The following is a 14,691-nucleotide window of genomic DNA, read 5'->3' on the forward strand; positions in this document are numbered from 1 at the left end:
CACCGCACCCTGCATGATCTGTAGTTTCAATCCCACAACAACCTTGTGTGGTAAAAATTACTATTATCCCTATTTTATTTATCTTTCTTTCTTTTTCTTTTTTTTATTTTGAGATGGAGTCTCAGTCTGTCACCCAGGCTGGAGTGTGGTGGCACAATCTCGGCTCACTGCAACCTCCCAGATTCAAGTGATTCTCCTCCCTCAGCCTCCCGAGTAGCTGGGATTACAGACCCGCATCACTATGCCTGGCTAACTTTTGTATTTTTAGTAGAGACGGGGTTTCACCATGTTGGCCAGGCTGGTCTCGAACTCCTGACCTCAAGTGATCCACCCGCCTAGGCCTCCCAAAGTGCTGGGATTACAGGCGTGAGCCACCGTGCCCGTTCTATTTATTTTTCAACACACCATTGCTGGCTCAACTATTCTTATTTTAAAGATAGGGAAACAAAGATTCAGAGACGTTAAGTAACTTGCTCAATCAAGATCACATAGGTAATAAGAGGTTTAGGATTTGAACCCAAAATCTGAGCCCAGAGTCTGAACGCTAAATCAACATGCTGAGTTGAAATTGACTACAGCAGTTGTGATGGCGTGTGCCTGTAATCCTAGCACTTTGGAAGGCTGAGGTGGGAGGATGGCTTGAGCCCAGGAGTGTGAAGCCAGCCTGGGCAACATAGTGAGACCCTACCCCAAAAAAGGTAAAAAAAAAAAAAAAAAGGAATAATAAAAAAAATTGACTAGGGCTAATAAGTACGGGATAGACGAGAATAATATTTCTTTTTTTTTTTTTTTTGGGGACAGAGTCTCGCTCTGTCACTCAGGCAGGAGTGCAGTGGCGCAATCTCGGCTCACTGCAAGCTCTGCCTCCCGGGTTCACGCCATTCTTCTGTCTCAGCCTCCCGAGTAGCTGGAACTACAGGCGCCTGCCACCATGCCCGGCTAATTTTTTGTATTTTTAGGAGAGACGGGGTTTCACCGTGTTAGCCAGGATGGTCTCGATCTCCTGACCTCGTGATCCGCCTGCCTCGGCCTCCCAAAGTGCTGGGATTACAGGCGTGAGCCACCGCGCCCGGCCGAGAATATATTATATTTTTCTTGTTATTCATTCAACAAATAGGAACACAGTACCTACTCTGTTGCCACATCTATGCCAGCCCTGTTTCAGGGGTGTTGGGGGAGATGAAATCAATAAAATATGATGTCTACTTTCAGGGATGGATTTCATGCCCCAGGCAGCAGAGTAGGAAGAATGACTATAGTCTCAGTAGCTGCTGGTTGGAGCCTGCCATCACTTCAGATGGGGTTGTTCCCCAGAAGAGGCAACCCGCATACCTTCCCAGGTCCATCCTGGGCTGCCACCTGAGTTGCCTGTCTTCCTTCTGCCACCTCCACCCCTATCCCAGGCCTGCCACTGCTCATAGCAGATTTCCTATCAAAGGCTCTCCTGGCCTCCTCTCTTATCTGTGGCCCCCGCAGGGCACCCACTTTCAGAAACTCCCTGGAAGGCCCAGCACCTGCCTCTCTCCACCCCTGGATTTCTACCAGCTTGGCTGAGGCCTGGGGCTAGTGGGGAGAGCTTCTTGGCCTCTTCCCAGAGGCAAGGGAGGAGGAGGGAGGCTGGGAAAGCCGCTGGGGCTCAGTGTCGCAATTCCGGGCCGTGCTGGGACCTTTGCTCCACGAGGTGCCTATGGAGGGGAGGGAACACGATTCTGGAGGCTGCTGGGATTGGGGTGGGGGTTCCTGGGAGGCAGTCCTTTTGCAAGAGCTGCTAAGAGCGCTGGGTAAGGAGAGGAAGGGGAGAGACATGGAACTTGGCTGGTCTGCAGGGAAATGCCACTGTTTTGGCCGGGAGTAGGGGGCGGGAGTGGCGGGAGAGGGGGTGGCCGGCTGGGGAGGAGCCAGCCTGGTGGAGAAGCTGCCCTGTGGGCGGGGGTGAGGAGGGGAGGGCTGTGGTCACCAGGCAGGAAGGAGGGGTGGCCTGACCCCTCGGCAGTCCCTCCCCTCAGCCTTTCCCCAAATTGCTACTTCTCTGGGGCTCCAGGTCCTGCTTGTGCTCAGCTCCAGCTCACTGGCTGGCCACCGAGACTTCTGGACAGGAAACTGCACCATCCTCTTCTCCCAGCAAGGGGGCTCCAGAGACTGCCCACCCAGGAAGTCTGGTGGCCTGGGGATTTGGTGGGTCTGCTCCTTAGCAGTGGCCTGGGGCTCTGTGTGTGTATCTGGGGTGGGGTCGGGGAATGTCCTAAGGATCTGAGAAGGGGGTTTCTGGGGAGAAGTGAGGGGTGATGGTGATGGAAGCTTGGGACAGGAGCAGGACTCTGGGTCCCAGAATAACTCATGAGGGGCTCAGGGGAGGAGGTCCTCTATGTGAATTGGGGAGATTCTTGGAGACAGGTTTGTGCTGGGACCCTGGAAAGTGGCACGAGCGAGGTTCTCTAATAAGCAGCGTGTTTCACTGGGTGGAGTGAGCTGTCCTCAGTGTTGGAGTGAGGGGGAAGGGGCCCAAGAGAAGCAGGGCAGATGCACCCAAACATTCCCTGCTGGCCTGGAGGGGACTTTGGGGGAGAAAAGCCGGCACGGTGGCTGGGAGCCCAGACTTTGGAGTCAGAGGAGGGTTGGAGTCTTGACTCTACCGCCGCCTAACTGTGTGACCATAGTTACTTAATCTCTTTGAACCTCAGTTTGCTTATCTGTAAAATGAGTTTAAGAATAGTCCTGAGCCAGGAGCAGTAGCGTGCGCCCATAATCTCAGATACTCAGGAAGCTGAAACCTGATTGCTTCAGCCCAGTAGTTTGAGGCGATAGTGTCCTATTATTGCACCTGTGAATAGCACTGAGTTCCAGCCTGGGCAACATAGAGAGACCCCATCTCAAAAAAAAAATTAATAGTTTTGACCTCAGAGGGATATTATGAGGAAAGCACATAAAGCCTTATAACAGGCTGGGCGCAGTGGCTTACTCCAATAATCCCCACACTTTGGGAGGCCCAGGTGAGAGGATCACTTGAGCCCAGGAATTCCTAGACTAGCCTGGGCAAAATAGGGAGAACCTGTCTCTAAAAAACATAATAGTAATATAATAAAGCCTTAGTACAGGCTAATATATGGCAAGTAAATGTTAGCTGATATTGTTGATATTGATAAAAGGGAGGATCAGGTGGAGAAGGGAGCTGAGGCCAGAAAGGAGCCCAGTTCTAGAAGAGTATAATCTGGGTCCTTCCTGCAGGACAGTGCCTTGGTAATGACCAGGGCTCCAGGAAGAGATGTCCTTGTGGCTGGGGGCCCCTGTGCCTGACATTCCTCCTGGTAAGCTTCATTCCATCCCTCTCCCCTGAGCCCAGACCGCAGGCTCCACGCCTCCTGTAGGAATCAGCCTCCTTCATTACCTGCCTTCTTCCTTCCTCCAGAGAGCAGTCCAGAGTCATTCTTAGTCGTGCTTGCCTCCCGCCCAGATCACCTCTCCCCTGGTTCCAGTGCCTGGCCCTTGCAGGCACCCGCCCAGTCCTCCCCAGTCTGGATTTGCTGCTAGAGAGTTGGCCAGCTGAGTGCTTACCCTGCTCTGGCTTTGAAGAGTTTTATCTGATCTCTGAAATGCATACACTCCAGCCCCCCAAAGGGACAAGGATTAACATCTTCATTTAAGGTCCTGAGATGTAAGAAACTACAAGTGACTAGTCCTAGCTAGAGCCCACACAGACTCTAGGGTCCCAAAGCCTGAGCTGGGACTTTGCTGCCCTCTAAGGGTGGGGATAAGTTTGCAGTTTCCCAGCTAGGACGCTGGGCCGTGGAGCCGGGATGGGGCCTGAGACCCCCTTGTGCCTCTCTTTTGGAGCTCAGACTCTGCGGTGGAGCTGTGGAAGCCAGGCGCACAGGATGCAAGCAGCCAGGCCCAGGGAGGCAGCAGCTGCATCCTCAGAGAGGAAGCCAGGATGCCCCACTCTGCTGGGGGTACTGCAGGGGTGGGGCTGGAGGCTGCAGAGCCCACAGCCCTGCTCACCAGGGCAGAGCCCCCTTCAGAACCCACAGGTGAGGAGCTTCTGGGTTTGGAGGAGGTAGGGGTCCAGATTCCAGGTCCTGGATCTGGAAGAGGTTCCTTGGGGGTTTTTACTTTATATATAATCTCATGGTTAAGTTCAGAGGCTTTAGAGCTAACTAAATCTGACTGATCTAAGTGTGAATTTTGTCTCTAGGCCTTTCTGAGCCTCACTTTCCTTGTTTATAAAATGGAAATAAAAATTATGGTTGTCATAAGGATCAGTGCATATAAAAGGCTCATACAGTACCTAGAACATAATGGCACTTGGCAAATGAGGGCTACTCTTCTCATAAAAGAGAGACTGGAGTTTGTATAATGAAGGGAATGAAGGTCACTGAGTGCCCAGGGCAGTGGCTGAGTCAGGGAGAACATGATGTTTTTCCTCGGGGGAGAGCGTTGAAGCACTTTCCTGTATCCAGAGATCCGTCCACAAAAGCGGAAAAAGGGGCCAGCCCCCAAAATGCTGGGGAACGAGCTATGCAGCGTGTGTGGGGACAAGGCCTCGGGCTTCCACTACAATGTTCTGAGCTGCGAGGGCTGCAAGGGATTCTTCCGCCGCAGCGTCATCAAGGGAGCGCACTACATCTGCCACAGTGGCGGCCACTGCCCCATGGACACCTACATGCGTCGCAAGTGCCAGGAGTGTCGGCTTCGCAAATGCCGTCAGGCTGGCATGCGGGAGGAGTGTGAGTTTCTGGGGCTGGAGTGGGGAAGAGGCTGAGGGGAAAGAGGGGGCCAGGGTGTGACCCAAAACAGGTGCCTGAACTTGCAGGGGCTAACTGATCCCTAAGTATGGATCCCAGTATCTTTCTTGACCGGGCGCGGTGGCTCATGCCTGTAATCCCAGCACTTTGGGAGGCCGAAGCGGGTGGATCACCTGAGATCAGAAGTCCGAGACCAGCCTGGCCAACATAGTGAAACCCCGACTCTACTAAAAATACAAAAATTAGCCGGGTGTGGTGGTGAGCGCCTGTAATCCCAGCTACTCAAGAGACTGAGGCAGGAGAATCACTTGAACACGGGAGGTGGAGGTTGCAGTGTGCCAAGATCATGCCACTGCACTCCAGCCTGAGCAAGTGTGAGACTCTGTTTCAAAAAAAAAAAATCTTCTTGCCTTTACCCAGTGCTGTCTGCTTTTCTGGAGCCCCAAACCACCCCCTTTGCCCCATCCTTCCCTCCTGTCTTTCCCCCACCCCCTTGCCCCATCCTTTCCCCATCTGCTCCCTTCCTCATATTTGGCCCTGTCCTTAGGTGTCCTGTCAGAAGAACAGATCCGCCTGAAGAAACTGAAGCGGCAAGAGGAGGAACAGGCTCATGCCACATCCTTGCCCCCCAGGGCTTCCTCACCCCCCCAAATCCTGCCCCAGCTCAGCCCGGAACAACTGGGCATGATCGAGAAGCTCGTCGCTGCCCAGCAACAGTGTAACCGGCGCTCCTTTTCTGACCGGCTTCGAGTCACGGTACTTGACACACCTGGGGAGAGGCGGCTGCGCCCAGATCACCAGTGGGCTTCTTGATGTCCGACTCAAAGCGCTTTGCCTTTTCCCTCCTGGGTAGCCTTGGCCCATGGCACCAGATCCCCATAGCCGGGAGGCCCGTCAGCAGCGCTTTGCCCACTTCACTGAGCTGGCCATCGTCTCTGTGCAGGAGATAGTTGACTTTGCTAAACAGCTACCCGGCTTCCTGCAGCTCAGCCGGGAGGACCAGATTGCCCTGCTGAAGACCTCTGCGATCGAGGTGGCTGGAGAAGGGCAAGGGATGAAGGGAGAAGCAGAGTGGGATTATCTGTGGGAGGGGCCTCCAGACATCGAGCTGGGAGAGCCAAATCTGCTGGGAAGCAGGGATGAGGAGAATCGGCCTCCCTGGAAGAGGCCATGCTCCAAGACCAGCCCTCCTAGTCCCCGTTTGAGGTTTGCTGCTTGTGTGCAGGTGATGCTTCTGGAGACATCTCGGAGGTACAACCCTGGGAGTGAGAGTATCACCTTCCTCAAGGATTTCAGTTATAACCGGGAAGACTTTGCCAAAGCAGGTGAGAACTGAGATCACACAGGGATTGGGGTTGGGTGGACAGATGCTTCTTTTTTTATTTTTTATTTTTAAAAATTGAGGGCCAGGCGCGGTGGCTCATGCCTGTAATCCCAGCACTTTGGGAGGCCGAGGTGGGCAGATCACCAGGTCAGTAGATCAAGACCATTCTGGCTAACACGGTGAAACCCTGTCTCTACTGAAAATACAAAAAATTAGTCAGGCATGGTGGCACGCGCCTGTAGCCCCAGCTACTTGGGAGATCGAGGCAGGAGAATCACTTGAATCTGGGAGGCAGAGGTTGTAGTGAGCCAAGATCGCACCACTGCACTCCAGCCTGGGCAACAACAACAACAACAACAAAAATTGAGATAGAGTCTTACTATGTTGCCCAGGTTGGTCCCAAACTCCTGGCCTCAAGTGATCCTCCTGCCTCTGACTCCCAAAGTGCTGGGATTACAGGCGTGAGCCACCCACCATGCCCGGCCAAGTACTTTTTTTTTGTTTCATTTTTTTTTTTAGACAGAGTTTGCTCTGTCACCCAAGCAGGAGTGCAGTGGCGTGATCTTGGCTCACTACAACCTCCGCCTCCCGGGTTCAAGCAATTCTCCTGCTTCAGCTTCTCAAGTAGCTGGGATTAGGTGCACCACCATGCCCAGCTAATTTTTGTACTTTTAGTAGAGACAGGGTTTTACCATGTTGACCAGGCTGGTCTTGAACTCCTGACCTTAAGTGATCCATGTGCCTCAGCCTCCCAAAATGCTGGGATTACAGGCATGAGCCACTGAACCTGGCCAGGACTGGTGCTTTTTGTCAGAGGCCCATAGTGACTACAGAGCCACAGGCCCAATGTTTGGGTGGCTGGTAAGGGAAGGCTCCCTTGTTTTTTGAAGATAGAAAATTGGAATGCTGATAGGCTTCTCTCAGCTGCTCCAGATAGACCCCTGTCCTCTGTTGCTTTAGGTCAGTGGTTTTCAAACTGTATTCCAAGGAACCTGAGAGATATATGGAATGGCACCTTGGAGGAGAAACAGGGAGGCACAGGAATGTCCTTCATCTTTACTTTAGCCAAACAAGAAGCTCCATTTAAATCTGCATTATATATTGCACTGCTACATAGTATTTTGCTTGCAGATTTTACAGCTTGAAAAAAAAGTTTGAAACTCAGTGCACTCAACTTTTTAGTAGTCAAAAAGTGAACAAATCTTCCTCACATGTGCTCTTTGGGGATCATGGGGGCTGATTTCCCCTACTTTTTTTTTTTTTTTGAGATAAGTTCTTGCTCTGTCACGCAGGCTGAAGTGCAGTGGCATGAACGTGGCTCACTGCAGCCTCAACCACCTGGGCTCCAGTAATCCTCCTGCCTCAGCCCCCAAGTAGGTGGGACTACAGGCATGCACCACCATGCCAGGCTAATTTTTATATTTTTTTGTAGAGAGTGGGTTTCGCCATGTTGCCCAGGCTGGTCTCAAAATGGTCTCGAACTCCTGAGCTCAAGTGATCCACCCACCTCGGCCTCCCAATGTGCTGGGATTACAGGCATGAGCCACCACACACAGCCTCCCCTACTCTTTTTCTTTTTTTTTCTTTTCTTTTTTTTTTTTTTTGAGATGGATTCTCACTCTGTTGCCAGGCTGGAGTGCAGTGACGCGATCTTGGCTCACTGCAACTTCTGCCTCCCGGATTCAAACGATTCCCCTGCCTCAGCCTCCTGAGTAGCTGGGACTACAGGCGCGCGCCACTACGCTCAGCTAACTTTTGTATTTTTAGTAGAGATGGGGTTTCACTGTTTTGCCCAGGCTGGTCTTGAACTCCTGAGCTCAGGCAATCCGCCCGCCTTGGCCTCCCAAAGTCCTGGGATTACAGCCATGAGCCACTTGTCCAGGCCCCTCCCCTACTCTTTTTCAATTGCACTTTCTGACGAACCAGAACCATGGCATGGCAAACATGCCCAGAGAGGATGTACAATAAGAGCGAATGCTTCCATCTCCATCCTATATCTGAAGTATTTTCTCCAAAAATTAGTTCATTCTGCGGCTCTCTATCTGATGCTCGCTTGGGAGCTACGCAGAAGGGGTTTCTTCATATTCAACTATTGATAATGTTTGTATCATGAGAACTGGCCTGGGAAAGGACGGGAGGCTGAGGGAGTTTTGGAGGGACTGGAATTGAGCTTCAGCAGGAAACCAAGTAGCTTAACGACTGGATGAGTGGGGCTGTAAAATATGGCTGATGCCCTGACTCCACTCTCAGGGCTGGTAGATCTGTGGCCAGGCCAGTCATCAAGCCTTCCTTGGTTTCTGATAACTCAGGCCAGCTCACGTGCCTCTTGCTCTCCCAACGCAGTCCACCCAGTGAGCTTTCTAGGAAGGCCACTCTTCGCTGTAGGGCATAACAGGGCTATGTTGGCACCTTTTGCCTTCTATAGTAACCGGTGTGCTGCCTGGATGTATTGACACCTAATGGGGTGATTTAATGACTTTATCCAGCTTTAAAGCCCAGCCCTGCTCCCCTCTTCCAAACCACTTTTTCCTCGATGGTTATTATCTCAGACCTTCTTAACCGTGGCTCTCCCCTCCTTCAGAATATCCTCCTTGTGGAACCCTGCCCAGTTCTAAGATCTTTGTATTCCTTTGGCACTTGTAGACTCATGCTATCTGAATCTGCACCTATTCATAGATTTATTTATACAAGCAGTTTTGAAGTAATCATGCTTGCATTTCTTATTTCATGAGTGAGGTCTTGGGGAGAAGGAACAGGAGCTCTGCTTGTCAAGTCTCCTCCCCTCCCTATCCGCTACTATTTACTGCATGCAGTAGATAACTGGTGACATGGACTGAGCACATTTGAGGTGTTCATTCCGTGGGCATCAGCAGACCCTCAGAGGTGCATTAGCTAACTATAGAACCTCCTCTTAATTTCTCTATAAAGGGGGCTGTTTGCCACACTTTGGGGCTCAAAACCTCACCAAGAAATGCTTTAGAAAATGGGGCTTGCCGCCGGGCGTGGTGGCTTACACCTGAAATCCCAGCACTTTGGGAGGCCGAGGCAGGCGGATCACCTGAGGTCAGGAGTTCGAGACCAGCCTGGCCCATATGGCAAAACCCCATCTCTACTGAAAATACAAAAATTAGCTGGGCGTGGTGGTGCACACCTGTGGTCCCAGCTACTCAGGAGGCTGAGGCAGGAGAATTGCTTGAACCAGAAGGCTGAGGTTGCAGTGAGCTGAGATCGCGCCACTGCACTCCAGCCTGGGTGACAGAGCAAGACTCCATCTCAAAAAAAGAAAAAAGAAAAAGAAAATGGGGCCTGCCCATTAAATGGACCAACACACAACACTTGATAAACATCAGGGTGAAAGTACAGGAAGTGACTCACCAAGAAGCCTTGAATGGAAAAGTGTAGCAGATGGTTGCTAAAAGAAATCTGACAAAGCCTGGGGAACTCTGTAGGGTGCAGAGACTTTGACAATGTGTATGAGAGACATTCTCTAGGTATCATTACTTTAGCTCATGTTTTGTTGCATTTTAGTCTTCTCAGCAGGAAGACTGTTTCCAAGAAAAATGTATTATTTATTGACCAGGCGCGGTGGCTCATGCCTGTAATCCCAGTACTTTGGGAGGCCGAGGCAGGCAGATCACGAGGTCAAGAGATCGAGACCATCCTGGCCAACATGGTGAAATCCTGTCTCTACTAAAAATACAAAAATTAGCTGGGCGTGGTGACATGCACCAGTAGTCCCAGCTACTCAAGAGGCTGAGGCAGGAGAATTGCTTGAACCTGGGAGGCAGAGCTTGCAGTGAGCCGAGATCATGCAACTGCACTCTAGTCTGGCAACAGAGCAAGACTCTTTGTCTCAAAAAAAATTTTTTTATTTATTTTACAAACACTTATGTGGTAGTTACCATATATGCCACATATTTATGAGATAGGTACTATTATTATTCCCATTTTACAGATGGGAAAACCAAAGCCCAGAGAGGTTAAATAACTTACACAAGGTCACACTGCCTTGTAAGTGGTAGAGGCAGGACTCAACCCGAGGCAGTCTGGCACCAAAATCCACATCCTCACCCATACTGCAATATTCCCTCGAGGATGTGATACATGAAATGTATCTCTAGTGTTCAAATAAGTAAGGCCAATGCCAGTGAAAAACAAGTCTTTTTTTTTTCTTTGAAACAGGGTCTCGCTCTGTCGCCCAGGCTGAATGCAGTGGTGTGATCAATCATGGCTCAATGCAGCCTCGACCTTCTGGGCTCAAGTGATCCTCCTTGAGTAGCTGGGACTACAGGTGTGAACCACCGTGCCCTGCTGAAAAAGGATTTTTTTTTTTTTTGAGCCAGAATCTTGCTCTGTCGCCCAGGCTGGAGTGCAAGTAGAACAATCTCGGCTCACTGCAACCTCCACCTCCCAGGTTCAAGCAATTCGCCTGCTCAGCCTCCCGAGTAGCTGGGACTACAGGTGCGCCACCATGCCCAGTTAATTTTTGTATTTTTAGTAGAGACCGGGTTTCACTGTGTTGCCCAGGCTGGTCTCAAACTCTTGAGCTCAGGCAATCCGTCTGCCTCGGCCTCCTAAAGTGCTGGGATTATAGGGATAAGCCACCGCATCCAGCCTTTTTTCTTTTTCTTTTTTTTTTTTTGAGATGGAGTTTCGCTCTGTCATCCAGGCTGGAGTGCAGTGGCGTGATCTCGGCTTACTGCAACCTCCGCCTCCCAGATTCAAGCAATTCTCCTGCCTCAGCCTCCTAAGTAGCTGGAATTACAGGAGTGCACCACCACGCCCAGCTAATTTTTGTATTTTCAGTGAGACAGGGTTTTGCCATGTCGGCCAGGCTGGTCTCAAACTCCTGAACTCAGGTGATCCCCCTGCCTCGGCCTCCCAAAATACTGGGATTACAGGCATGAACCGCCGTGCCTTGCTGAAAAACGATTCTTGATAAACAAAAATAAGAGTTGCCTCTATTTCTAGAAATGTGGAGCCCTCAAGAATTTTAATGACAGAATTGGCAGGTGATGGTGTCTGGTGCCTGTAATCCCAGCACTTTGGGAGGGCGAGGCGGGTGGATTGCTTGAGTCCAGGAGTTCGAGACCAGCCTGGGCAACATGGTGAAATCCTGTCACAACTGAAAATATAAGAATTAGCTACTTGTGATGGTATGCACCTGTAGTCCCAGCTACTAGGGAGGCTGAAGTAGGAGGATGGCTTGCACCCGGGAGGTCGAGGCTGCAGTGAGCTGTGATTGTGCCACTGCACTCCAGTCTGGGTGATAGAACAAGACCCTGTCTCAAAGAAAAAAAACAAGAATACCAGAATTATTATTTAATTCAGCACCTCTTGTGTGCCAGACACAGCGCTAAGTGCCCTGCATACTTTGTCATTGAACTATACCAACAATTTTCTGAGAAGGGTTCAGATATGATTCCCATTTCACAGATGAGGCTTATAGAGGGGTTAAGACATTTGCTCAAGGTTACACAGCAAAGCCTTGTAGACCTTTTTTTTTTTTTTGACGGAATCTCGCTCTATCGCCCAGGCTGGAGTGCAGTAGTGCAATCTTGGGTCACTGCAACCTCTGCCTCCCGTGTTCAAGCAATTCTCCTGCCTCAGCCTCCCAAGTAGCTGGGATTACAGGCACCTGCCACCACGCCCGGCTAGTTTTTGTGTTTTTAGTACAGACGGGGTTTCGCCATGTTGGCCAGGCTCTTCTCGAACTCCTGACTTCAGGTGATCCGCCCGCCTCAGCCTCCGAAAGTGCTGGGATTACAGGCGTGAGCCACTGTGCCCGGCCTCAGTAAACTTCTTAGTGAGTTCCTAATAGTTCCCTAAGGTGAGGAGAGAAGAAAGTTCCTGCTGCTCCTGCTGCTTGCGTCAGCCTCCCTTCTTCCTCCCCAGGGCTGCAAGTGGAATTCATCAACCCCATCTTCGAGTTCTCCAGGGCCATGAATGAGCTGCAACTCAATGATGCCGAGTTTGCCTTGCTCATTGCTATCAGCATCTTCTCTGCAGGTGTGGAGGAGGGGCAATGGGAAACAGCAAGAGACTTACACCAAGGAGGGCTGCAGGTCCCACAGGAATCGGTGGGGGGAGGGGGGTGGTGGCTTGGGAGGGTGGAGGCATTTGCTGTGTTATTTTAGGATGAGAGAGCTTGGCTGGAGCATGTCTCTATATTTTGGTTGCAATTTGGGGTATGGAACTGGACCCTGGCCAGACCTGCTCCTCAACTCTCTTGGTGACCTATAGACCGGCCCAACGTGCAGGACCAGCTCCAGGTAGAGAGGCTGCAGCACACATATGTGGAAGCCCTGCATGCCTACGTCTCCATCCACCATCCCCATGTGAGTCTCCCCATGGTGTTCCTTTTCCTCCTTCCCACACACAGGCCCATTCCCTGACATACCTACTTTCCCTTCAAGAATTTCTCTCTGACTGCATGCTGTGCAGACAATTCACCTCTCCCACAACTCCCCTACTCTTGCCCCGCTTCCCTGGGGACAGGCAAAAGCTGTGTTTGTCTCTCTCCTTTCCCCAGGACCGACTGATGTTCCCACGGATGCTAATGAAACTGGTGAGCCTCCGGACCCTGAGCAGCGTCCACTCAGAGCAAGTGTTTGCACTGCGTCTGCAGGACAAAAAGCTCCCACCGCTGCTCTCTGAGATCTGGGATGTGCACGAATGACTGTTCTGTCCCCATATTTTCTGTTTTCTTGGCCGGATGGCTGAGGCCTGGTGGCTGCCTCCTAGAAGTGGAACAGACTGAGAAGGGCAAACATTCCTGGGAGCTGGGCAAGGAGATCCTCCCGTGGCATTAAAAGAGAGTCAAAGGGTTGCGAGTTTTGTGGCTACTGAGCAGTGGAGCCCTCGCTAACACTGTGCTGTGTCTGAAGATCATGCTGACCCCACAAACGGATGGGCCTGGGGGCCACTTTGCACAGGGTTCTCCAGAGCCCTGCCCATCCTGCCTCCACCACTTCCTGTTTTTCCCACAGGGCCCCAAGAAAAATTCTCCACTGTCACTCTGTGGTATGGCCATAAATGCCTCAGCGCCGCCTCACTGATAGGTCTGGTACTGTTTGAACAGGAAGATCAAAATGAATACAAAATGAGAGAAACCAATTTCTGGATTGGGGGTGGGGACACGGTAATAGAGGAGGAAGCCTGCGATCTTTAGGATCCGCCTCCAGGCCCAGAGGAGGGAGAGTCACAAATGACAGCCTTGGCCGTGAGAGGGGGCCTCTTCTTACTAACCCCCACTGCGCCATATGGGTAAATGGAATGCTGAGGCTTAGGCGCCCCCTTCCCCTGCTGGGATCCGGGTAGGATCCGGTTGCCTTTCTGCGGTGGAGGAGGAAGTGTTGGATTTCAGCGCTAAGGCGTCGGCGGTGCACCTCACGTGCATGTGTAGCATGCCTTGGTTTTTCCTTTGGCATCTGAAAAAGGCACAACCTGAAAGACCTAGAACCCAGTGTCGGTCCCCAGGCCCTTTGGGACAGGAAGAGAAGAGCCGTGTGGCCGCGGGGAGGATGTCCTGAGGCGGGGCTGTCCTCGCGGACTGACTGGACTCCATCTCCCAGCGGGCGCCGCGGCGCGGCCACGCCCCCCCACTCCCCGCGCGCGCCCGGTGGAGGTAACCGCGGCCGCGCGCCCCCCTCTGCCCCCGCTGCCCAGGATTGGTAGGCTCCACCGCTCGGCAGCCGGCTTCCCTGCTCGGACGCCGAGCACCGCCAAAGCGCGTGAGTGGGGGGTGGGGACTGGGGGATGGGGAGCCCGTCAGGAAGTCTCAGGGGCCGATTATCTTGGGAAGTGACTTTCAGAGGAATCCCCATGTCGTCGAAACGGGCGCTATGACCCCGTCGGGTGAGAGTCTCTCTGAGCAACCCAAACAGAAGGTACTGCTGTGGGTCCCCCACTTGGCACGCGACGGCGCTGGGTCGGCCTGGCGCGCCCTCCCGCGCCCACGGGCGCTAGGCTAGGTCTGTGCGCAGCCGCTGTCTCCCGAGGTCGGCCCCGCCCCGCGGCGCTCGGCTCGGTGCAGCCCCGGCCCCCCGGGCTGAATGGTACGGCCCCGGCCCCGGCCTCCCCCTCCGCACCCCGCGCGAGTGGTGCGTGCCCCCCAGTGCAGACGCGGAACTGGCGCCCGCTCGGAGCGGCGCCGCGCTGGGGAGCGACTGACGCCCCGCTGCCGGGGGACGTCGGGCTGGGCCTGGCCAGTCCCCCAGAGCTTGGGAGGTAGGAGAGTCTGGGCCGGTGGGGTCCTGGGCGAGCGTCTGGGGACTCCGAGCGGGAGACGGGCTCTGAGAGGACACCGTGGCTCTTGGAGGAAGGGGTCTCTCAGGAGGCCCTGGGGGAGTGTGAAGGGGCGTGGGGACGGGGGTCTGCCGAGGAGGGGCGGGGACGGGGATGGGGGCGCCCCGGGCAGAGGAGGGGGCTCAGGCTACTGGGCTTGGTTCCTGCCGAGCGGGCGGCTCGGGTTCAGGTTCGGGGCGGGGGCGGGGGCGGGGGAGAACTGTCCAGCAGGTGAGGGGGCGGGCAGAGCTGGCCAGCCCTGGGGCCGAACCCGCACAGCGCTTGGCGGGTGTGCTTGTGCGTGTGCGTGCTTGCGCCTTATTTTTGGCTAGAATTTGGAGA

General features: G+C 53.1%; 2 protein-coding genes across 126 annotated transcripts in view, besides 6 other annotated features; both read left to right on the top strand.

Moving 5' to 3' along the window:
* The window catches only part of NR1H3 (nuclear receptor subfamily 1 group H member 3), a 20,734-nt gene extending 7,655 nt beyond the window's left edge, over window positions 1-13,079 (top strand). For 4 of the 22 annotated variants that reach the window (NM_001251935.2, NM_001251934.2, NM_001130102.3 and 1 more), the window contains 8 exons: window positions 3,837-4,025; window positions 4,455-4,721; window positions 5,287-5,495; window positions 5,593-5,772; window positions 5,965-6,064; window positions 11,959-12,072; window positions 12,307-12,401; window positions 12,596-13,079. In NM_001251935.2, the coding sequence (NP_001238864.1) occupies window positions 3,837-4,025; window positions 4,455-4,721; window positions 5,287-5,495; window positions 5,593-5,772; window positions 5,965-6,064; window positions 11,959-12,072; window positions 12,307-12,401; window positions 12,596-12,742 (1,301 nt within the window). In that variant the 3' untranslated portion in view covers window positions 12,743-13,079. Of the gene's footprint in view, window positions 1-1,752; window positions 1,782-2,041; window positions 3,306-3,831; window positions 4,026-4,454; window positions 4,722-5,286; window positions 5,496-5,592; window positions 5,773-5,964; window positions 6,065-11,958; window positions 12,073-12,274; window positions 12,402-12,595 lie in introns of those variants that run through there. The other 18 variants (XM_047426197.1, XM_005252706.2, XM_047426195.1 and 15 more) reach the window with 18 other exon arrangements.
* Window positions 3,482-4,050: an enhancer, noted in NCBI's record as "H3K27ac-H3K4me1 hESC enhancer chr11:47280987-47281555 (GRCh37/hg19 assembly coordinates)". NCBI's record gives its function as "activates a minimal SCP1, AML or CMV promoter by ChIP-STARR-seq in naive H9 embryonic stem cells {active_cell/tissue: H9 hESC(naive)}" and the evidence as "EXISTENCE:reporter gene assay evidence [ECO:0000049][PMID:30033119]".
* Window positions 9,284-9,578: an enhancer, noted in NCBI's record as "tiled region #2100; HepG2 Activating DNase matched - State 3:PromF, and K562 Activating DNase unmatched - State 5:Enh". NCBI's record gives its function as "activates a minimal TATA promoter and a strong SV40 promoter by Sharpr-MPRA in HepG2 and K562 cells {active_cell/tissue: HepG2 | K562}" and the evidence as "EXISTENCE:reporter gene assay evidence [ECO:0000049][PMID:27701403]".
* MADD (MAP kinase activating death domain) overlaps window positions 13,234-14,691 on the top strand; it is a 60,844-nt gene continuing 59,386 nt past the window's right edge. For 75 of the 104 annotated variants that reach the window (NR_164835.1, NR_164840.1, NR_164841.1 and 72 more), the window contains exon 1: window positions 14,179-14,292. The gene's annotated coding sequence lies outside the window, so the exon portion shown is untranslated. The other 29 variants (NM_003682.4, NM_001376600.1, NM_001376574.1 and 26 more) reach the window with 5 other exon arrangements.
* Window positions 13,361-13,470: an enhancer, noted in NCBI's record as "active region_4695". NCBI's record gives its function as "activates an Ori minimal core promoter by ATAC-STARR-seq in GM12878 lymphoblastoid cells {active_cell/tissue: GM12878}" and the evidence as "EXISTENCE:reporter gene assay evidence [ECO:0000049][PMID:35858748]".
* Window positions 13,621-13,730: a silencer, noted in NCBI's record as "silent region_3325". NCBI's record gives its function as "represses an Ori minimal core promoter by ATAC-STARR-seq in GM12878 lymphoblastoid cells {active_cell/tissue: GM12878}" and the evidence as "EXISTENCE:reporter gene assay evidence [ECO:0000049][PMID:35858748]".
* Window positions 13,941-14,470: a silencer, noted in NCBI's record as "silent region_3326". NCBI's record gives its function as "represses an Ori minimal core promoter by ATAC-STARR-seq in GM12878 lymphoblastoid cells {active_cell/tissue: GM12878}" and the evidence as "EXISTENCE:reporter gene assay evidence [ECO:0000049][PMID:35858748]".
* Window positions 13,944-14,238: an enhancer, noted in NCBI's record as "tiled region #9889; HepG2 Activating DNase matched - State 1:Tss". NCBI's record gives its function as "activates a minimal TATA promoter and a strong SV40 promoter by Sharpr-MPRA in HepG2 cells {active_cell/tissue: HepG2}" and the evidence as "EXISTENCE:reporter gene assay evidence [ECO:0000049][PMID:27701403]".

Source organism: Homo sapiens, chromosome 11, assembly GCF_000001405.40.
Source record: "Homo sapiens chromosome 11, GRCh38.p14 Primary Assembly".
NCBI classification, from domain to species: domain Eukaryota; kingdom Metazoa; phylum Chordata; class Mammalia; order Primates; family Hominidae; genus Homo; species Homo sapiens.